Genomic DNA, 23,823 nt, shown 5'->3' on the forward strand with positions numbered 1-23,823 from the left:
ATGAGTAGGTTGTGAAAATTTTCTCCCATTTTGTAGGTTGCCTGTTCACTCTGATGGTAGTTTCTTTTGCTGTGCAGAAGCTCTTTAGTTTAATTAGATCCCATTTGACAATTTTGGCTTTTGTTGCCATTGCTGTTGGTGTTTTAGACATGAAGTCCTTGTCCATGCCTATGTCCTGAATGGTAATGCCTAGGTTTTCTTCTAGGGTTTTTATGGTTTTAGGTCTAACGTTTAAGTCTTTAGTCCATCTTGAATTGACTTTTGTATAAGGTGTAAGGAAGGGATCCAGTTTCAGCTTTCTACATATGGCTAGCCAGTTTTCCCAGCACCATTTATTAAATAGGGAATCCTTTCCCCATTGCTTGTTTTTCTCAGGTTTGTCAAAGATCAGATAGTTGTAGATATGCGGCGTTATTTCTGAGGGCTCTGTTCTGTTCCATTGATCTGTATCTCTGTTTTGGTACCAGTACCATGCTGTTTTGGTTACTGTAGCCTTGTAGTATAGTTTGAAGTCAGGTAGTGTGATGCCTCCGGCTTTGTTCTTTTGGCTCAGGATTGACTTGGCGATGCGGGCTCTTTTTTGGTTCCATATGAACTTTAAAGTGGTTCTTTCCAATTCTGTGAAGAAAGTCATGGTAGCTTGATGGGGATGGCACTGAATCTGTAAATTACCTTGGGTGGTATGGCCATTTTCACGATATTGATTCTTCCTACCCATGAGCATGGAATGTTCTTCCATTTGTTTGTATCCTCTTTTATTTCCTTGAGCAGTGGTTTGTAGTTCTCCTTGAAGAGGTCCTTCACATCCCTTGTAAGTTGGATTGCTAGGTATTTTATTCTCTTTGAAGCAGTTGTGAATGGGAGTTCACTCATGATTTGGCTCTCTGTCTGTTGTTGGTGTATAAGAATGCTTGTGATTTTTGTACATTGATTTTGTATCCTGAGACTTTGCTGAAGTTGCTTATCAGCTTAAGGAGATTTTGGGCTGAGACAATGGGGTTTTCTAGATATACAATCATGTCGTCTGCAAACAGGGACAATTTGACTTCCTCTTTTCCTAATTGAATACCCTTTATTTCCTTCTCCTGCCTAATTGCCCTGGCCAGAACTTCCAACACTATGTTGAATAGGAGTGGTGAGAGAGGGCATCCCTGTCTTGTGCCAGTTTTCAAAGGGAATGCTTCCAGTTTTTGCCCATTCAGTATGATATTGGCTGTGGGTTTGTCATAGATAGCTCTTATTATTTTGAGATACGTCCCATCAATACCTAATTTATTGAGAGTTTTTAGCATGAAGGGTTGTTGAATTTTGTCAAAGGCCTTTTCTGCATCTTTTGAGATAATCATGTGGTTTTTGTCTTTGGTTCTGTTTATATGCTGGATTACATTTATTGATTTGCGTATATTGAACCAGCCTTGCATCCCAGGGATGAAGCCCACTTGATCATGGTGGATAAGCTTTTTGATGTGCTGCTGGATTCAGTTTGCCAGTATTTTATTGAGGATTTTTGCATCAATGTTCATCAAGGATATTGGTCTAAAATTCTCTTTTTTGGTTGTGTCTCTGCCTGGCTTTGGTATCAGGATGATGCTGGCCTCATAAAATGAGTTAGGGAGGATTCCCTCTTTTTCTATTGATTGGAATAGTTTCAGAAGGAATGGTACCAATTCCTCCTTGTACCTCTGATATAATTCAGCTGTGAATCCATCTGGTCCTGGACTCTTTTTGGTTGGTAAGCTATTGATTATTGCCACAATTTCAGCTCCTGTTATTGGTCTATTCAGAGATTCAACTTCTTCCTGGTTTAGTCTTGGGAGGGTGTATGTGTCGAGGAATTTATTCATTTCTTCTATATTTTCTAGTTTATTTGTGTAGAGGTGTTTGTAGTATTCTCTGATGGTAGTTTGTATTTCTGTGGGATCGGTGGTGATATCCCCTTTATCATTTTTTATTGTGTCTATTTGATTCTTCTCTCTTTTTTTCTTTATTAGTCTTGCTAGCGGTCTATCAATTTTGTTGATCCTTTCAAAAAACCAGCTCCTGGATTCATTAATTTTTTGAAGGGTTTTTTGTGTCTCTATTTCCTTCAGTTCTGCTCTGATTTTAGTTATTTCTTGCCTTCTGCTAGCTTTTGAATGTGTTTGCTCTTGCTTTTCTAGTTCTTTTAATTGTGATGTTAGGGTGTCAATTTTGGATCTTTCCTGCTTTCTCTTGTGGGCATTTAGTGCTATAAATTTCCCTCTACACACTGCTTTGAATGAGTCCCAGAGATTCTGGTATGTTGTGTCTTTGTTCTCATTGGTTTCAAAGAACATCTTTATTTCTGCCTTCATTTCGTTATGTACCCAGTAGTCATTCAGGAGCAGGTTGTTCAGTTTCCATGTAGTTGAGCGGTTTTGAGTGAGATTCTTAATCCTGAATTCTAGTTTGATTGCACTGTGGTCTGAGAGAGAGTTTGTTATAATTTCTGTTCTTTTACATTTGCTGAGGAGAGCTTTACTTCCAACTATGTGATCAATTTTGGAATAGGTGTGGTGTGGTGCTGAAAAAAATGTGTATTCTGTTGATTTGGGGTGGAGAGTTCTGTAGATGTCTATTAGGTCCGCTTGGTGCAGAGCTGAGTTCAATTCCTGGGTATCCTTGTTGACTTTCTGTCTTGTTGATCTGTCTAATGTTGACAGTGGGGTGTTAAAGTCTCCCATTATTAATGTGTGGGAGTCTAAGTCTCTTTGTAGGTCACTCAGGACTTGCTTTATGAAACTGGGTGCTCCTGTGTTGGGTGCATATATATTTAGGATAGTTAGCTCTTCTTGTTGAATTGATCCGTTTACCATTAAGTAATGGCCTTCTTTGTCTCTTTTTATCTTTGTTGGTTTAAAGTCTGTTTTATCAGAGACTAGGATTGCAACCCCTGCCTTTTTTTGTCTTCCATTGGCTTGGTAGATCTTCCTCCATCCTTTTATTTTGAGCCTATGTGTGTCTCTGCCCGTGAGATGGGTTTCCTGAATATAGCACACTGATGGGTCTTGACTCTTTATCCAATTTGCCAGTCTGTGTCTTTTAATTGGAGCATTTAGTCCATTTACATTTAAAGTTAATATTGTTATGTGTGAATTTGATCCTGTCATTGTGATGTTAGCTGGTTATTTTGCTCGTTAGTTGATCGCAGTTTCTTCCTAGTCTCAATGGTCTTTACATTTTGGCATGATTTTGCAGTGGCTGGTACCGGTTGTTCCTTTCCATGTTTAGTGCTTCCTTCAGGAGGTCTTTTAGGGCAGGCCTGGTGGTGACAAAATCTCTCAGCATTTGCTTGTCTGTAAAGTATTTTATTTCTCCTTCACTTATGAAGCTTAGTTTGGCTGGATATGAAATTCTGGGTTGAAAATTCTTTTCTTTAAGAATGTTGAATACTGGCCCCCACTCTCTTCTGGCTTCTAGAGTTTCTGCCAAGAGATCCGCTGTTAGTCTGATAGGCTTCCCTTTGAGGGTAATCCGAACTTTCTCTCTGGCTGCCCTTAACATTTTTTCCTTCATTTCACCTTTGGTGAATCTGACAGTTGTGTATCTTGGTGTTGCTCTTCTCGAGGAGTATCTTTGTGGCGTTCTCTGTATTTCCTGAATCTGAATGTTGGCCTGCCTTGCTAGATTGGGGAAGTTCTCCTGGATAATATCCTGCAGAGTGTTTTCCAACTTGGTTCCATTCTCCCCGTCACTTTCAGGTACACCAATCAGACATAGATTTGGTCTTTTCACATAGTCCCATATTTCTTGGAGGCTTTGGTCGTTTCTTTTTATTCTTTTTTCTCTAAACTTCCCTTCTTGCTTCATTTCATTCATTTCATCTTCCATCACTGATACCCTTTCTTCCATTTGATCGCATCAGCTCCTGAGACTTCTGCATTCTTCACGTAGTTCTCGAGCCTTGGTTTTCAGCTCCATCAGCTCCTTTAAGCACTTCTCTGTATTGGTTATTCTAGTTATACATTCTTCTAAATTTTTTTCAAAGTTTTCAACTTCTTTGCCTTTGGTGTGAATGTCCTCCCGTAGCTCGGAGTAATTTGATCGTCTGAAGCCTTCTTCTCTCAGCTCGTCAAAGTCATTCTCCGTCCAGCTTTGTTCTGTTGCTGGTGAGGAACTGTGTTCCTTTCGAGGAGGAGAGGCGCTCTGCTGTTTAGAGTTTCCAGTTTTTCTGCTCTGTTTTTTCCCCATCTTTGTGGTTTTATCTACTTTTGGTCTTTGATGATGGTGATGTACAGATGGGTTTTTGGTGTGGATGTCCTTTCTGTTGGTTAGTTTTCCTTCTAACAGACAGGACCCTCAGCTGCAGGTCTGTTGGAGTACCTGGCCTTGTGAGGTGTCAGTCTGCCCCTGCTGGGGGTGCCTCCCAGTTAGGCTGCTCGGGGGTCAGGGGTCAGGGACCCACTTGAGGAGGCAGTCTGCCCGTTCTCAGATCTCCAGCCGCGTGCTGGGAGAACCGCTGCTCTCTTCAAAGCTGTCAGACAGGGACATTTAAGTCTGAGGAGGTTACTGCTGTCTTTTTGTTTGTCTGTGCCCTGCCCCCAGAGGTGGAGCCTACAGAGGCAGGCAGGCCTCCTTGAGCTGTGGTGGGCTCCACCCAGTTCGAGCTTCCTGGCTGCTTTGTTTACCTAAGCAAGCCTGGGCAATGGCGGGCGCCCCTCCCCCAGCCTCGCTGCCACCTTGCAGTTTGATCTCAGACTGCTGTGCTAGCAATCAGGGAGACTCCGTGGGCGTACGACCCTCCGAGCCAGGTGTGGGTTATAATCTGCTGCTGCGCCATTTTTTAAGCTCGTCAGAAAAGCGCAGTATTCGGGTGGGAGTGACCCGATTTTCCAGGGGCCGTCTGTCACCACTTTCTTTGATTAGGAAGGGAACTCCCTGACCCCTTGCGCTTCCCGAGTGAGGCAATGCCTCGCCCTGCTTTGGCTCGTGCACGGTGCGCGCACCCACTGACCTGCGCCCACTGAATGGCACTCCCTAGTGAGATGAACCCGGTACCTCAGATGGAAATGCAGAAATCACCCGTCTTCTGGGTCGCTCACACTGGGAGCTGTAGACCAGAGCTGTTCCTATTCGGCCATCTTGGCTCCTCCCGCCTTTTAATTATTTTAAACTAAAACAACGACTAAGTCATATGAAAGAAAAATTACCTTTTAAACTTTTACCATTTTAGATGAAATTTAATATATATATATGTTTTTTTTAAAAAAAATGTATGATTGCTCTTAAAATTCAAAGAGCTAGGCCAGATGCGGTGGTTCACACCTGTAATCCCAGCACTTTGGGAGGCTGAAGCGGGCGGCTCACAAGGTCAGGAGTTTGACATCAGCCTGGCCAATATGGTGAAACCCCATCTCTACTAAAAATAACAAAAATTAGTCAGGTGTGATGGCATACTCCTGTAGTCCCAGAAACTTAGGAGGCTGAGGCAGAAGAATTGCTTGAACCTGGCAGGTGGAGGTTGCAGTGAGCCGAGATTGTGCCACTGCACTCCAGCCTGGGTGACAGAGCGAGACTCCATCTCAAAAAAAAAAAAAAATTCCAAGGGCTCTGTGTAACCTGGAGCATGGAAGATTAAAAATCAGTGTTCGGTGATTGATACAGGAGAAAAGGGAATGGATAATTATTTCTCTTCTGAGGTCAAAATTACAAATAGAGAGTCATTTTTTCTCTCTTCAGATCTGCAATACTTAGAAACTATTTCTAAGTAAATAAAATCACCAGGTGTTTTAGTTTGGCAGTTTGAATATGCTATTTGAGTAATTGTTAGGAATGTCTGAAACAGAGGGTCACAGAGCAGGGCATGGCAAGGACGGATTAGAAAAGAAGGATGGTGAACAAGGAAAAGGACTATGGGCAGGAGGAATGGACTTCAGGGAACAGTCCTAGAACTCATTCATTCATTCATTTGCCTGCAGTGCGCCCGGCTCTGTGTCAAGCCCTGGAGACACACCATGGTGAACACGATGCAGCCCCTGTTCTCTGTCACAGTTGAGTGTGATATAAAGAAGGAAACAGGTCATTTCAGTGTAGCCTATTAAGTGTAGGGTGCTGTGGAGACACCTCTCTCAGACTTGAAAGGACCAGAAGTGGCGTGAGGTGAGATCCAAGCTAAGCCCCGAAGCAGGGATAAGAGTTCCACCGGAAGGAAACAGCAGCCAGGTTCCAGGAGGTGGGAGTGCATGGCAAGCTCCGGGTGATGGCATGTGGCTCAATATGGGTAGAACTTTGAAAGTGAGAATGAGCAAAGAAACATCAGCTGTAAAGGCAAGCTGGACTAGGTCAGGAAGAGTCTTACATGTTTATGTGAAGGAAGGAATTTGGAATTTTTCATTAATACATTGAGGGACTATTAAAGAGACTCCCTTTAGGAGAAGGACATGAGCAGATATTTGTTGAAAATTAAAGTCAGCAAAGCTATAGGTAAGAAGATCAGACAGCTGAACCAACCTTGTGGGGCTGGAGAGGAGTAGACTCTTTGTAAGAGGTAGAAGGGACAGATTTTTGAGAGATTAGATGTCAGGGTGAACAGCTGATTGCAGTGATTTCAGTTTATGAAGAGAAACTTGCAAAGAAAGATAGGCTTTCCAGATGCTTATGTGAAGGGAAGGGATGTCTAGTTTCTATTCACCAGGCTCTGACATAACTCCACAAGGGTATGGTGGAGGCAGAGGCCTGGCCCAGACAAGATATTTTCTCGAGAGGATAGAAATTAAAGACATGTGAGTCATAGTGAGGTAGAGAAGCCAGAGGTGATAGACATGTTGGAACAATTTGTAAGTTCTTTCTAGGAAACTAATCCTGAGGTTTAGAAGCAAGAATATTAGGAACCAGGTCACTTAGTGAAGCACATCGTTGGGTGTGGAGGCTGTGAACAAATGACACTATCAAGCAGCCTGGTTCTTGGATCCTAGCTGCATTAGGCAGTACCATAGCCTAAGGGCTAGAGGCCAGTTTGTACAAAGAAAGAGGACTAGCTAAAGGAGAGTGAGAATTCAGGCAGGTCTTTAGACTTGAGATTGTGTATAGACTGAAGGAGTAGAATAAACTATTGACAGTTCATCAAAGTAACTAAAAGACTAATGGCTCAGGATAACTGGAGGGAAACATATAGATTGGGAGTGTGGTGAGGGAAGGAGTTGACCTTGAATCTCTACCTTTGAAAGAAAACAGAAGAAGAAAATAAACTTTGAAAGTGGCAGGGAAGATGAGAATTTGGGAGGGTTCAGGAAAATTAACACCTTCTTGCTAGTTAAGCAGGAGGCAAAGGTATTTTCTTTCATCATCATTATTATTATTATTATTATTATTATTATTATTATTATTATACTTTAAGTTTTAGGGTACATGTGCACAACGTCCAGGTTTGTTACGTATGTATACATGTGCCATGTTGGTGTGCTGCACCCATTAACTCGTCATTTAGCATTAGGTATATCTCCTAATGCTATCCCTTCCCCCTCCCCCCACCCCACAACAGTCCCCGGTGTGTGATGTTCCCCTTCCTGTGTCCATGTGTTCTCATTGTTCAATTCCCACCTATGAGTGAGAACATGCGGTGTTTGGTTTTTGTCCTTGCGATAGTTTGCTGAGAATGATGGTTTCCAGCTTCATCCACGTCCCTACAAAGGACATGAACTCATCATTTTTTATGGCTGCATAGTAGTATTCTATGGTGTATATGTGCCACATTTTCTTAATCCAGTCGATCATTGTTGGACATTTGGGTTGGTTCCAAGTCTTTGCTATTGTGAATAGTGCCGCAATAAACATACGTGTGCATGTGTCTTTATAGCAGCATGATTTATAATCCTTTGGGTATATACCCAGTAATGGGATGGCTGGGTCAAATGGTATTTCTAGTTCTAGATCCCTGAGGGATCGCCACACTGACTTCCACAATGGTTGTACTAGTTTACAGTCCCACCAACAGTGTAAAAGTGTTCCTATTTCTCCACATCCTCTCCAGCATCTGTTGTTTCCTGACTTTTTAATGATCACCATTCTAACTGGTGTGAGATGGTATCTCGTTGTGGTTTTGATTTGCATTTCTCTGATGGCCAGTGATGATGAGCATTTTTTCATGTGTTTTCTTAGAGTGACAAGGATTGCAGGGGAAGGGCAGTATGGGGACATGATTGAAAGCTCAGGCTCTAGGGAACGGAAGACCTTGTTTTCATTCCTGGTCCCATCATGTGCTGGCAGAGTGGCCTTGGGCATGCTGCTTAAGGTTTGTCATTCTCAGTTGCTTTATACTTAAGGTATATTCATTGTAGGATCTTTCGCCTAGAGTTGTATTAAGGATTAAAGAAATTAATTCATGTAAAGTGTTTAGCATGTAGCAAATGTTCAATAAAATTTGTGATGATGAAGCAATATTGTATAATGGTCAAGAACCAGACTGTGAAGCCAGACCGCTGAGTTCAAATATTAGCTTCACCAATTTCATGCTAGTAGTGTGATTTATAAACATAATTCATAGCTCACCAAGTGCTCAGTAAATATGTATTCAACTGCATTGACAATAAATATGGAGACTCCATGAACTTGTCTTCCTGTGCTTTGAGTTCTTGCCAATGTCATGCTTATGTTCTACCCATTTGACGAATGGATACAGTAAAAACCTTTGTTAATTTATACACTAAAGGAAGCAAAATATGTTATCTCTGCCTCAGGTTTCTCATCTGTAAAAAAAAAAAGGGGATAATAGTACCTACCTTTTAGGCTTATTGTAAGTTAAGAGAGTTAATAGATATAATCTCTTAGCTCTGGTACATAGGAAGCATTATATATGTCTAGCTAGCATTGTCACATTTATCCCTGCTCACCATCATCAGTAGGAGTTGAGAAACAGAATTTATAATGGGCACGGTGGGATTGACTATGTAACTGAGTAAGACAAGTAAAAAGGATAAAAGTAAAGAACAAGTGATAAAGCACTTAGGACCAACCTGAGATTGAAAACTTTTGTAGTAGGGTCAGAACACAGGAGCAGCCAGAAACCTGGGGATAGACCTGAGAAGAAAAATGGTTGGAGAAGTTTAGAGTTAGGGTTTATTACTGGACCATTTGTGAAACTATAAGAGAGCCAGTGAGCTGAAGGTATAATAGTACGCTGTTTTGAGAGAATAATGAAAGTCATTGACAAATAACCAGAGAAAGGAATAAAGGAACATGTTTTAGACAGCTGTTTGAAAGTGACTTTGATTTTATTGTATTTATTACATTGCCTTGTCAATTTGCTTGTTTCTTTTCTCTCTCCTTTCCCATCCAAACAACCTTTCCTGGCTTCTTATTTCTTCTTCTCTGCATATTTCAAGCCTTTTGTCCATTCTGCCTTGTAGCAAAACAACATAAAGAAACGCATAATAAGAAAACAGAGAAGTATTGTTTCTATGTTCAATTCTCCACATATTCACTGAACATCTATTCCCTGTCTAGCACAGAAATCTTTGCTCTGACAGATCCAAAAAAAGCATCTGGCATGTTCATTACCCTCAAGGGTCTCTGTGGGAGGAATTCACATGAAATCATTATACATACATTGTACAGGAAAATGATAATTGTCATACAATCAAGTGTCAAAAATTATGGCACAGCCATTAAGTGTTGCAGTGATCAAAAAAGGTGCTCAGAAAGGAGAGAGACATGAGCTGAGGCAAACACAGCCTTTTAGAAATGGATGTTCAGAGAGGCCTTTCATAGAGAGGGAGAATGGGGGTGTGGGGGACGGTGTGCAGGCCTGGGAGAGCAGAGAAAGGACTGCGCAGAAGCATGTGGCGGGTGTGGAGAGCAGGTCAGGCACCAGCCCAGCAGGAGGTGAGTTGAATGGGAGGTAAGACTGGACACTTAACCCTTCCAGAGCATAGCTCAGCAGGTGATCAATACGTATGTGTTCAGCTGCATTGAGAGTAAAGGAGGAGGAGACACCCATGAGCTAATCTTCTTGTGTTTCAGCTTCTTGTCAATGTGATCATTATGTCCTAGCCATGTAATAAGTGCATATAATAAAAACCTTTGTGAATTTGTAAACTGAAAGAGGCAAATACTGTTTTGTTAGGTCCACTGAAGAATAGAAATTTGGTGACTTTTTGATTAAGAATGTAAACACCTCTGTAAAATTATAGGAAAACAGAAGGTTGCATTTTTGGAAGGTGTGGTGGGGAACATAGTCCTAGCTTGCTACTGACTTCTCTATGTATATAGCTTTTCCTCCTCAAGCCACCTCTTTGGATGCCTTGTCTCTTTCAAGGTAGCTTTCGTCTCTGTTTGTAGCCTAGAACAGCATTCCATTTGAGAACCATGTTAAGCTGTCCCAAGGCTAAGTGTCGTGGAGTGCAGGTATTAGAGATCTTAAAACTACATATTTCTTTATGAGTTAAAGGCAGAGGGACCAGAACTGCCAGTACAGCTAAGCCCTTCTTTGAATAGTGGGTGCCTTATTAGTATTCATGAAGAGCATATCGATAACATCTTGACAGAGTTAAAGTTTCAACTTGAAGAGCTACTGCTTTTCAATAAGGAGCATATTTAAAGACACTTTTTGCATGACTAGTGAGTGAATTGCTTCTAAAATGAGAGTATTACTTTATTGAATGAGATATTTTTCATGTACTTTGTCTACAGTTTAGAATTGTCATTAGAATTACAAGAAATAATAATGATTAGCACTTGTAGGGCTTTTATCTTCAAAGAGTTTTAGAGTTAATCTAATTTAATTGTCACTTGGCATCATCAGAGATGTGTATTTGCTTTTCTACCATGAAAAGTGGTGTTCCCTTACCAGCCCCTTAATGCTTCCTTTTGGTATTTTCATGGTCTATGAGCTGTTTGTTCTATAGGAAATAGAGAGTTGGCAGATTGAAGAGCTTTGTATTATAGCTCTTTTTCCCAGGTAAGCATTTGGGTTCTTTGAGCTGGGTTTCCTGGGTCCAGTTCTGGTTCCTCTACTTGCCATGTTATCCTGTGCATGTTACTTAACCCTGTTGCTTTAAGTGGAATTCATCACAGTAACTGCATCAGAGTGTTTTTGTGAGGATTAAATGAGAAGGTAAATATGTAGCAGTTAAATATTTAATAAATGTTAGTTGCATATCAGAATTTTAAAAAAAATTTAGGAGCATGTCATTCTGAGAAGTCATATGTGGTTAAGTGTTAGATGAGGAAATTATAAGCCAATAAATACCCTTTCCAGAAACTACTGTGCAGTAGGCTCCGTGCTAGGCACTGAGACCAAAAAGGTAGTGATGGCACCTGCACTCTGAAGGTCACAACCTTTTGTGGACGTGGAGATGTCTTAATCCATTTTATGTTGCTATAACAATACCACAAACTGAGTAATTTATAATGAACAAAAGTTTATTTGGCTCACAGTTCTGGAGGCTGGGAATTACAAGAGCATGGGGCCAATATTTGGGGAAGGCTTTTGTGCATCATTATTCCATGGCAGAAGAGCAAGAGAGGATGAGAGTAAGAAGAGGCTAAACTTGCTTTAATAACAAACCCACTCTGGTGATGACTAATTCACTCCTACAATCACAACATTAATCCAGTCACGAGGGCAGATCCCCCATGACTGCATTGCCTCTTGTTAGGCCCTACTTCCCAACACTGTTACTCTGGGGATTACCTTTGGAGGACACATTTCAATCAAAGCAGGGTGCAGGGGAGTTGTCAAAACACTATGATAAGTGCTTGACCTAACAGAATCAAGTACAATCAAAGCTCATAGCAGAGTGATGGACTTTGACTTAGGGCTTTCAGATAAAAGAAGAGATATTTGACCCGGGTCTTGGAGGATGAGAAGGACTTTCAGAGAAAATGGGAGACTTTTAAGGTGAGAAGGAGAAAGGCTTCAAATTTGGAGTATTTGCTGTTTTCTGTGGCAGCAGGACCCCTTGAAAGACTGAAAGCAAGGTGTGATTTGAAAGTCCCAGAACTCTTTAGAAAGAATGAAAGCAGGTGGGTCCAATTTGTGTGGAAGTACTAGAGTTTCCACTATGTTACAGTGTCTTTGGGCTGGTTTTTCCTCTCCTCCGTAGACTCTGGAGAAGGCCGTGCGGTTTTGTAGTCTTAATTGGACCCAGAAGAGGCCCTATTTGTGGTTAGAATATGTGGTTGTCTAGCAGTGGTATTTAATGGGCCTCCCATACTCTCCTGTTTCACTGGGCGTGAATTTTAATGACCAGGATTTGAGTGGAATTTCATTGGACTTTTAGGAAACAGTTTAAAATACCACCGTGACACAGTTCAGTGTATACTAATGTTTTAATGATTAAAGTGTAACTGATTGCCTAAATTGTAAGACAAGACAATAGATGAGAGGATCTTATTCACAAAATTTATGACGGTGCCAAGGCACTGTTTCTGACTGTGTATCACTCAGACAAAGGAAAGGAAACTCTCCATCTTTCTTTTTCAGTTTCTGAGGCTGCAGATTATATCATCTGGGCAGCATATGGATCACTATCAAATGGGAGACATCTATGCTCCCTTTTGAATGACATCTTAGGATGAGTTTAAGTGAGCAGATGCTGCCTGTTAATCCCATGCTTCCCAGTCTAAAAAGCTTGTTGAGTAAAGGGTGGATTTGCCAACAGTGAACGAGAATCTTCTAGACACTGTGCTGGGTATTACATGTGTTCTCACAGTAGAGCTATTATTATTTAGTTTTAACATGAGGAAAGATCAGCACAAGTATTAACTTTCCAACAGGTAGTTTGTGGTAGAGGCAGGATTCTAAAGGAAGCCTATCAGGCTCCAGTGTCCTTTTTTTTTCTTCTTCTTTTAATAAATATGGCATTTGCTTTGTACTCTTTCCTTCTAAAATCTTTCTTCTTTAAGTTTCTCATGAAGTCTGACCTCAGTAAACGTCCTTCATGAATGAGCTTGCTACTTTTTTTTTTTTTTTTTTTGATACAGAGTCTCACTCTGTAGCCAGACTGGAGTGCAGTGGCATAATCTCGGCTCACTACAACCTCTGTCTCCTGGGTTCAAGCGATTCTCCTGCCCCAGCCTCGCGAGTAGCTGGGACTACAAGTGCATGCCACCAACAACCAGTTAATTTTTGTATTGTTAGTAGAAACAGGGTTTCACCATGTTGGCCAGGATGGCACAATCTCTTAACCTCGTGATCCACCCGCCTTGGCCTCCCAAAATGCTGGGAGATTACAGACGTGAGCCACCACGCCCGGTTTGGCTTGCTACATTTGAAGAATATAATTAAATGAAATTTTTCCTAATCTGTCAATTTACATTGAATTCAGTACAATGAATGTCAATTTAGGGTCACCTGTCCTGCCATACACAGAAAGGGGGCAAAGGGGGTACACATGGGTTGGTTTTTTTTTCACAAGGTAAATTTTGGTAGGGGGCTTTATATCATCATTTGACAGTCTCAGCAGCATAATTTGATGATGTTTAGTTTTTCAAGTACAGAGTCCATTGATAGTTAAATAACCTGATTTCAATTATTCTAAAATTGCAATGCAGAATGGAAGAATAACGTCTTTTGAATAAAGTCCAACATTTGCTTCATTTACTGCATAGAGGTTATTAGCTTAATTTGCTCTTGTTCTAAGACCAAGAAACCAAACTTTAAAATGTGTGGGCTTTTTAGTGGCAAAATAATGACAAGATTAGTCCTCTGTCACTTCAAAAATTAACAATTTTACCTCCTCCTCATTGTTGAAGTAAGATGAGTGATAACATTGTCTCAAAATTATGCTTTCTTTGCCCTTGTCTTTCCCACTTTTTTTCATCTTTTTAAAATGATTCTCTCTTGCTTTCTCATTACTTCTGAATCATAATCAGGAACATCATTTCCCTTCACTGTTTTGCCTTCTTTCAATAATTTGAACATAGATCCATAAGGAATTAAGAAAGAATTAGATAACTATAAATTATTAAAGTGCACAGTTTATACTTTGAGGTATTTCATAGTTATTAGATCAATTACAGTACATTTTTCTTGATTTTTCATCTGAGGTATACCATTTCCAATTCACTTACTGTTTTATTCATCTTCTGTACCTGCTAAAAATGTACCTACTTTGTTCCAGGCCCTGTACTAGGGGTTGCCAGCCTTATTTCTCCCCAAGCCTGTGCATCTGGTGGTTCTCAGACATCACATGCCACCTTGGTCTGTGTGTCTGAGCTGTGCACAGTTTTCAATTCCCTTTGTTTCCCACTTAGAAAAGAATATCTGAATTCAGGAAAGTGTAAGAAATTGTAGTTAATCTTGAAGCTATCCTGGAGAATATAAATAGTGAATCATCATCACAATTTGGCACAGGAGTTTGTGTCATTGTTTGTGACAATCCTCACAACTAACTGATCTTAATGATCTGATGTGCCAGGATGTTTCTGAGTATAGTCTTGGACCATTAAGAAAAAGGCCTAGCAATGGAGGTATGATGTATCTAAATAATTATAATTGAAGGGAAAATGTGGTAAGTGCCATTAGCAATGTAGAGTCTTTCTAATGTATTTCTGGGTGAGAAAGATTAATTTCTGGAGTATCAGAAAAGACATTTTCTCCAAAGTGGTATGTGAGCTACGTGGGAAGAATTAGAAATGAGGGAGGACTGAATGCGATTATTTTGAACCCAGAAAGAAGCCACATATAACCCTCATTAATTTGATTCTTGAGACCCTGTTTTTCTCTTTGAATATTGAAATTACATGTATATACACAAAGGTGCACACATATCCACACATATATATACATTCACACATAGTTAAATAATAATTTAATTCAAAATTTTGGGGGCTAAAGATTTATTTTTCTCTTGGCAGTGGCAATCACTTTACCCTCTCCAACTGATAGAAGTTGCCTTACTTACAGTTTCCCACTGATTTCTTTTACTGTTTAAAATATTAGACCCTTAAATGGGTTTAACTACCACTCAAGCAACTCATCCTGAAGTGATTACTATGTCACAGAAACAACCATTTCCTCTTCTTTCTATACAGCATTGGCATTTCTGGAAATTGAGTTACCTGTGCCAACTTTTATTTGTAGATAGAATGGGAATTGTTAAATGGACTATCAATTCACAAGAAATCTTCTCTTATTAAGAGCACACCAGATACCTAATTCCATTTAGTTTTCAATAACTTCTTGTATTATTGAGTCAGCCACACAAGTCATGTAATTGCTTCAGATATTCCAGCATGAGCTTCTTGCTAAGAATGCCACAAGAACATGTTTTTCTTTTCCCCCTTTCTTTTTCTTGACTGGACATAGCTTTTAATAAATTAATGAAGGCCGGGCGTGGTGGCTCACACCTGTAATCCCAGCACTTTGGGAGGCTGAGGTGGGCAGATCACAAGGTCAGGAGTTCAAGACCAGACTGGCCAATATGGTGAAACCCCGTCTCTACTAAAAATGCAAAAATTAGCCGGTTGTGGTGGCGGGCGCCCGTAGTCCCAGCTACTCAGGAGGCTGAGGCAGAAGAATTGCTTGAACCGGGGAGGCAGAGGTTGCAGTGAGCTGAGATCGCACCACTGCACTCCAACCTAGGCAACATAGCAAGACTCCGTCTCAAAAAAAAAAAAAAAAATTAATCAGAACTTTTATTAAAAATGAAGATTTTTTTAGAAAATGATTTTATTAAAATGAGTTATTGTAGCATAATAATCTTTTCATCAATAGTAGACTCAGTAAATTGTGATACATTCATGTTTTAGAATATAACACAATTATTTTAGAATTAGAACAATCGACATATATTTACCTACATAGAAGAGTATGATATATGCAGCTTAAATTTTTTAATGGCTGTTTATTGATATATTTGTATATTTAAAAAGATGTAGAATGATATAGTCCCTAAGGACATTGAAATTGGTCAAAGGATAGGCAAGCAGTTGGAGGGAGGTTATTAACAGAAGAGAATCCAGAAATAGGCTCATATACATGTGATAATTTAATATAGGATAGAAGGAATAATGAAAAGCTGGATTATTTAATAAATGGTATTGGTATAGTTGGCTAGCTATTTTTTTTTAAAAAAGAAGCTAGATCCTTACCTCACTTATTTTATCAAAATGAATCCCAGATTAATCAAGTATTTAAATGTTTAAGTTGAAGTTGTACAAGTTCTAGGAGAAAACATTGGTGAATAATTTTTTGAAGTAAGGAAGACCTAGGCATGACCCAGAATCCAGAAATAAGGAAGACAGATAACCTATACCATATTCTCTGAACGGCTTGAGAACTAGATGAATCTTTATATTATGTGTTCATTAATCCCAGTTTCTGTTTTAACATCGTGTTAAAAGTTTAATGGTACCACTTCTCAAGCATTTGGACTAATGCAAACATACTGAGCAAATAGGCTGCTACCTGGTAATTTTAGCAACTGTACTTGTGTTTGTATTGTCAGCATTCATGAACCATTTAAACCAATGGCATTTAATTGTATTGTTTGAGTTTTTCCATGACAGTAATTTCTATTTTAACATTACTTTGAATGAGTGAATGAATGAATGAGAAGTAACATCAGAAAAAAAGTTGTGAGAAAACATACAGGAAACTAACATGCAGTTACCTCTGGACCATGGTGCAGGACATGATGGAGAGGGCAAACCTCGTTTTATGCTATTTTCACCTGTTTAATAGAAATATGTATTGCTTTTATCATGGAGAAGAACTTTTTTTTACATCAATGAAAAGTAATTCAGAATTTTAGGCTTCTAAAAGATTTTTGTCACGTTTATAGCTTGGCCATTGCTTGGCCATTTCTTAGCTTAGCCAACTGCCCAAATCTAAAATGTTGGATTCTTACAAATTACTCATTTTATTTAGTAATATTGTAAGCACAGATTTAACATGGTATAGAATGCAAAATTCATGTAAATCATTATAGTAAAATAGCCATCAGAGAATGCCTGGGGGGCAAGCCCCTGTGAACTCTTCAACTCTCTTGGGAGGCATCCTTCATGTTCTTCTGATGGGAAATTGAGAAACGCTTCCCTGAGTAAATACACACAGGTGAAGACAACTGGTAACATCCTTAAGCTTACTGGGGTTTTAGGTTCAGAAGCTATGGAGAGGAGGGAAGTAGATTTCACAAAACGCAAATTTTATTAGCTCCATTTAGCCCACTAAAATGAATGTTTCATTATGTATTTTGGATTCATTATGTATTATGTATTTATCTACCAGTAAATGAGCTGATAGTATAGTCATTAAAATTATAATCTAATTAATCCTAAAGGGAGCTAAATAAACTAATTGTAATCAAATTTACTTTGATTTATCTCGGTGTCTCTCTTTCTCTCCCTGTTTCCCTGTTTCTCTCTCTCTCTTCCTATTACAGGTCACAGTAATGAAAGGCAGTAATAGAAATAAGGATCATTCAGCAGAAGGAGAAGGGGTTGGAAAACGACCAAAACGAAAGTGTCTTCAGTGGCATCCATTGCTAGCAAAGAAACTTCTTGATTTTTCAGAAGAGGAAGAAGAGGAAGACGAAGAGGAGGATATTGATAAGGTAAGTCCTATATTTACCATAGAAGTTTCAAGTTTATTAGAGCAAATCATAATCTAGAAACAATAGTGAACATGAATGATATTACAAAAGTGTTTCCAAAAGCCTGTATAGCTTGAATCCTATTCAATTACTTAGTTTACATTTTTATTCCAATTCTTGATTGCTCTTAAAGTATTTGTACTTCCTAATAGTGTAGACTGAGACACATCCTTTTAAATACGATTTTTGTCACCTAACTAATGATTTGTGGGTAATGTTCAAATACATTGAGATGGGGATGTTCCTAAAACTTGATGTGCTCATCTGACGTTCTACCCTGTGGCTCTTCTGGCCTCTCTGTCTTGGCTTCTGGCCTCGCCCTGCTACCATTGGCAGTCTTAGAACTGCTCTCTTTGTCTCTATCCGTGGCCTTCACAGCTTCTGGCTGCACTTGCCCCCAGTCTTTGTGATGACTCATTCCTCCTAGTCCTTTCTCTGGCATCAGGCCTCAGCAGCTGGCTCTTCAGTCACATAACCATGCAGGTGACTTAAGAAATCGTCTCAAGTGTTCGTCCCACCCAACTCATTCAAAGTCAAAAGATTTTCTTCATGGCACTTATTGCTATTTGCCATGTATTTAGCTGTATACTTATTTATGTCTGTCTTCTCTCAGACCAGAATAGAAGCTCAGTATAAGAACAGGGGCCTTGCCTGTCTCGTCCTTTCCTCTTGCCTCAGAAATGAGAATGGTGCCTGGCACATAGTAGGTATTAAATATAGATGTATGCTGAATGAAAGAATAAATGAGTACATATTTTGTGTCACTACGAATTTTATAAACATGTTTTTAATATTTTTCAGGCCTTTGACATCCATTCAGTCTCTCTTGGCTTTCATCAGGAATTAAAAACAATTTTACTCTTTTTCAGACATCATCTGGATACCCTCTAAGGTCTCTCTTACTAATGACCTTTTCTCCTTTTTCACAGAGAAAATAGAGGCCACCAGAAGTTACTCTTTTAGCTTCCTGTACACATCTATGTAATTGTCTCACTCCTTACTAATCTTTCCTTCCACCTTTCCTGTTTCAGAGAAACAGGTTTTATTCTTCTTACTTGAGGGTATTATCAAGCTTGTACTTAATTTCATTTTTTAAACACATTTGCATGTGTTGATCACTTGGTCATTGAAGCAGTCTCCTGTTTCCATGAGGGCACCCACTCCTGTTTCTCTTCCTTCTTTCCTTTGGCCACCCACACCTGTTTCTATTTATCCTTTCTTTTTTTTTTAGAAAGGGTCTCACTGTATTGCCCAGGCTATAGTACAGTGGCACCATTTCAGCTCACTGTAGCTTCCATCCACCTCCCAGGCTCAAGCAGTCTTCCCACTTCAGCTCCCTGAATAGTTGGGACCACAGGCACACACCACTAAGCCCAGCTAATTTTGTTTATATTTTGTAAAGACAGAGTCTGACTATGTTGCCCAGGCTGGTCTGGAACTCATGGCTTCAAGCAATCCTCCCTTCTCAACCTTTCAAAGTGCTGGGATTATAGGCACAAGCCACCATGTCTGGCCCCTCTTTCTATTTCTACCTTCCCCACTGTTCCTTCCTAGTTTCTTTCAGTTAATGTCCCTGCATTATTTACCCTTCAAATGATTGTGTTCTCTAGGCCTCCAATCTTAATTTCTACCTCCATCCTGGACTTTTCTTCTGAACTCTGGACTCATATTTCTATTTACTTGGTATATCCATTAGTTATCAACTAGAAATCTCAGTTTGAATGAATTCAAAATTAAGCTTTTGCTTTTCTTCTCCCAACCTTCTCCTGCATCTTCCCTTTCTCAGTAAAGGGCAACTGCAACATTCCCATTTGTCCGACCTGAGACCTTGTAGTTCATACTTTGCTGCTTTATTTTGCTCAAACTTCACATCCATCCATTAGCAAATCCTCTCAGACTCTACCTTCAAGATATGTTCACAGTTTTGTTGCCCTTTTAACAGTTCCTTCCTGTACCACCTTGATCCAAGCCACCACCATTTCTAGCAGAGATTATTGTATCTACCTCCCTCTCTCCCGGCCTCTGCTCTTGCCCTCCTGCAGTCCATTCTCAACAAAGCAGCCAGAGGAATCCCTTCAAAATGTAAGGCCAGTTGTGCGGCTCCTGTTTCTGTGAGGGCAGGGACTCTGTGTGCTCACTGCTCTCTGTGCTCACTGTGTGCTCACAGCACCTAGAAGAGTGGCTGGCTCATAGCAGGAACCCAGTAAATATTTATTGGGGGAGGGATTAAAGTCATTGAGTCCTCTTCTCTTTTCACTCACACTCAGTGGTCTAGTCCATACTTTTAGTCTTAGCACCTTCTGCATATTGGTATCTCATATTATTATCCTGCAGACATAGGTATCCACACAGCATTCCCCATAGCCACTTCAAATTCAGCCTGCCCAGCACTGATCTTTCTACTCTCCACCTGGCTGATTTCTCTCATTTGAGAACAATTATTTTTTGTTGTATATGAAGAAACTTTGCCACCCAAGCCAGAATCACTCTTCCTTTTTCTGCCTTCAGATCCAATTAGTTACCAGCCACTCTTGTTTCTGCCTCATAAATATTGTCCCTGTTCTCACTTCTCTGTTCCCATTACTGCTGCCTAGATTTCAGCCCTATCCCTTTTTTGCCTGGACAGCTGGAATACATTTTTAACTGGGTTTTCTAGTTTGGGTTGCTTCTAGTTTTACTCTTAAAATTCATGCTGTTGTTAGAAGTTATCTCCTTAAAATACAATCTAATGATGTCCCTCCACTGCTTAAAGTCACTCATGGCTCTCCATTACATCAATCCAGCTGTGGGAACTAGTGTTGATTTTTCTTAGAAAATATTAATGAGCTCCTGGGGAAAGAAAAATAAGTTCTAAACTCTAAGAGCGTTTTTATTTGTATTTTGTTATTCATGTATTTATGTATTTACTTTTTGATTAATAAAATAATTACATTAAATAGCAATTAAAACATTTTTCGATGTTCATAGTTGGCAGAATGAAAAGTTGACAAACTGTGTCAAATCAAATGTTTTTATTGGTCCATACAGTTCCAAACTGCTGGTTTACAGGATCAAATGCATGCGTTTAAATATGGCAGAGCACATTCTTCATGAAGTGGCACAGATCATCTTCTTCATCCTTGTCTCCTGAAGCCCTGTTCTCTTTTACATACCAGTGTTGTCGAACTGCAAGTTAATGTTCAGATAAACCAGCAAGACTTAATCCCTGTTAGTTCCCCATGTCTCTCCATTGACGACCTGACACATTCTGATTTGTTTCTCCTTTTTTTAATTTGTAATTTTTTAATTTTTTTAATAATTTTTTTCTTTTTTTTTTTTTTTTTTTTTTTTTTGAGACAGAGTCTTGCTCTGTTGCCCAGGCTGGAGTGCAGTAGTGTGATCTTGGCTCACTGCAGCCTCCTCCTCCCAGGTTCAGGTGATTCTCCTGCCTCAGCCTCCAGAGGAGCTGGGATTACAGGTGTCCACCACCACTCCTGGCTAACTTTTGTGTTTGTAGTAGAGACTGGGTTTCACCATGTTGGTCAAACTGGTCTTGAACTCCTGACCTTAGGTGATCCGCACCCCACCTTGGCCTCCCAAAGTGCTGAGATTAGAGCCACCACACCCAACCTGATTTGTTTCTCACAATGTAGCTCAGGCAACCTTTTCCAGGGAGGCCTTCTTGCGCTTCTTCCCATCCACTAGTGCTTTGTTATCTTGCTGGTTTCTTGTTGCAGTCAGCACACTGCTTTTAAATTTATGTTTATATGGTTTTTCCCCCTCCCAAAACATGAGGTCCTTTGTCCATCTGTTACACGTTGAATTTTATAATTTAATAACTGAATGAAAAGTTACTCTTTTCTGAAGGGGAAATATAATTGCTTCTTCATCTTATATATTAATAGTACACTTTTTAGTTTTTTTTAGCTTCCTAGTTTCAGAATGCTAAATAAAACTCGCTTGAAAAATGCAAATTATTGTTACCATTATATACATAATGAGGAAGATAAATATGTAGGCTTCACCCCAATAATAATTCCTAACATATTTCCAAATTAGATGGCTATGACCTCAAGATTTTTTCTGTACTCTTTGTGTTTGAAGATAATTAATGGTTAATTGATTGCATTTGAAATACTTAACGGCAAAAGACTTTTTTTTTTTGAGACGGAGTCTTGCTCTGTCACCAGGCTGGAGTGTAGTGGTGTGATCTTGGCTTACTGCAACCTCCGCCTCCTGGGTTCAAGCAATTCTCCTGCCTCAGTCTCCCAAGTAGCTGGGACTACAGGCACGCGCCACCATGCCCAGCTAATTTTTGTATTTTTAGTAGAGACAGGGCTTCACCATGTTCACCAGGATCGTCTCAATCTCTTGACCTCATGATCCTCCCACCTTGGCCTCCCAAAGTGCTGGGATTACAGGCATGAGCCACCCGCCTGGCCAAGACTTTTTAAAAATACCAGTTGGATTAAGCAGGTGATTAGTCCTAAAGTATCTGCTTGTAACAATTGCCCAATAAACATTGTAATAAAAGAACATGGTTGCCTTAAAGTTGTGGTTCTCAGAGAGTGATCCTCAAACCAGTAATATCAGCATCACCTGGGAACTTGTTAGAGATACAAATTCTCAGGACCCACTCCATACCTCAGAATTGGAAACTCTGGGAATGGGATTTAGAACCTGTGTTTTAACAGAACCTCCAGGGATTCCAATGCATACTCAAGTTTAAGAATTAACCACTCTGCTGCATAATGCAGACTAATGGTTACAAGTTGAGTATCCCTAATCCAAAAATTCGAAACACTTCTGGTCCCAAGCATTTTAGATAAGGGATACTTAACCTGCAATTTGTCCTTCTTGATTTTAATTTTGAAACCAGAAATTAAGGAAATGGGTTTAGTAAACATTGTGGACTTCTGTTTATAGTTACATTGTTTCTAAGAAACATTATAGAATCATTTTTTCCTTAGAAAATATTTTACAATCATAATATGTTCTGAGATTCTGTAATCAGAGATGGGCTTTAAGAAAGTTAACCTGGCAGCCATGTGCAAGAAGTATTGTAAAGAAGATGAAAAACGGGAAGACTAGGCGTAGGCCAAAGTGGTACTAGGGCAGTGGGAATGAGAATCACCCAGATGGAATGGACAGATTCGGAGCTTTGTAGAAGTCCTCGAAGACCTTGAACAATGATTGAATGAAGTGTAGGATAAAAGAGGATTCAAAATTGATTTTGAAGGTTTAAGCCTAGAGGAGTTTATTCCTATCACCAGAGCATTTCACTAAACAAGAAAGCTTGAGATTTACAAGTTTGAAGATTTATTGTGTAGTTCTTCTTTCAAATAATCATGTTAAATATCGATTTTGATTTTTTTACACAAGACTCTACTTGTGATGCTTGCAGAAACATTGAGTAGTCTATATTACCTTTTTATGTCTTACTTTCATGTTAAATAGTCTCATATTATTAGTTGTAGAAAAAGGCACTTTTCAAAGCAGAGAAAGACAAAGGTACTATTCATATATTTTATGTGGATGTTGTTAATCTTGATGCCCATTAACCATAGAATGGGTTTATTCATTCATTCCACAATTAATTAAGTACTAATATTATATCAGACATTGAGCTAGGCACTATGGTTGTAAAGGTGAATAAGAGCTTTTGTCCTCAAAGAGCTCACTGTTTAGTGAGAGAGAAAAAAATGTAAGCAATTATAACACAATGTAATATATGCTGTAATAGAGACATGCACAGGTTGCTATAGAAACTAAGCAGAAGGATACATCATAAGTTAGTTACCAACCATGAACAGTGGTTGTTGATTTTTTAAAATTATATTTTTTTCAATGTGTAAGTTGTTTAAATGGAGCTAAGAAAAAAATACAATTTGCAAACCAAGACTAACTGTTAAATCAAAATTATCCAAAATATGTTAAAGATCTGGCTTTGTTTTTGGTGGTAATAGGTTCAACTTCTTGGGGCCGATGGCCTAGAGCAAGATGTTGGTGAAACTGAAGATGATGAATCACCAGAGCAGCGAGCCCGGAGACCAATGAATGCATTTCTTTTATTTTGCAAACGCCATCGCTCTCTTGTACGTCAGGAACACCCCAGGCTTGATAACCGAGGTGCTACCAAGATACTAGCTGATTGGTGGGCTGTTCTTGATCCAAAGGAAAAGCAGAAATACACAGACATGGCCAAGGAGGTAGGTTACAATGACAAGGTATTCTGATAGCTAAAAGCAACCAGTCCTGAAACTCCCAGTCAACAAATATGAAGCACCTGTTG

At 39.5% G+C, this 23,823-nt stretch overlaps 1 protein-coding gene across 29 annotated transcripts in view; it reads left to right on the forward strand.

The window, feature by feature from the left end:
• The window catches only part of BBX (BBX high mobility group box domain containing), a 288,378-nt gene that overhangs the window by 170,148 nt on the left and 94,407 nt on the right, over positions 1-23,823 (forward strand). For all 29 annotated transcript variants that reach the window (XM_024453646.2, XM_011513001.3, XM_047448599.1 and 26 more), the window contains 2 exons: positions 17,343-17,513; positions 23,498-23,740. In XM_024453646.2, the coding sequence (XP_024309414.1) occupies positions 17,352-17,513; positions 23,498-23,740 (405 nt within the window). In that variant the 5' untranslated portion in view covers positions 17,343-17,351. The remainder of the gene's footprint in view (positions 1-17,342; positions 17,514-23,497; positions 23,741-23,823) is intronic.

The sequence above is a fragment of the Homo sapiens genome, chromosome 3, assembly GCF_000001405.40.
Source record: "Homo sapiens chromosome 3, GRCh38.p14 Primary Assembly".
Lineage (NCBI taxonomy): Eukaryota > Metazoa > Chordata > Mammalia > Primates > Hominidae > Homo > Homo sapiens.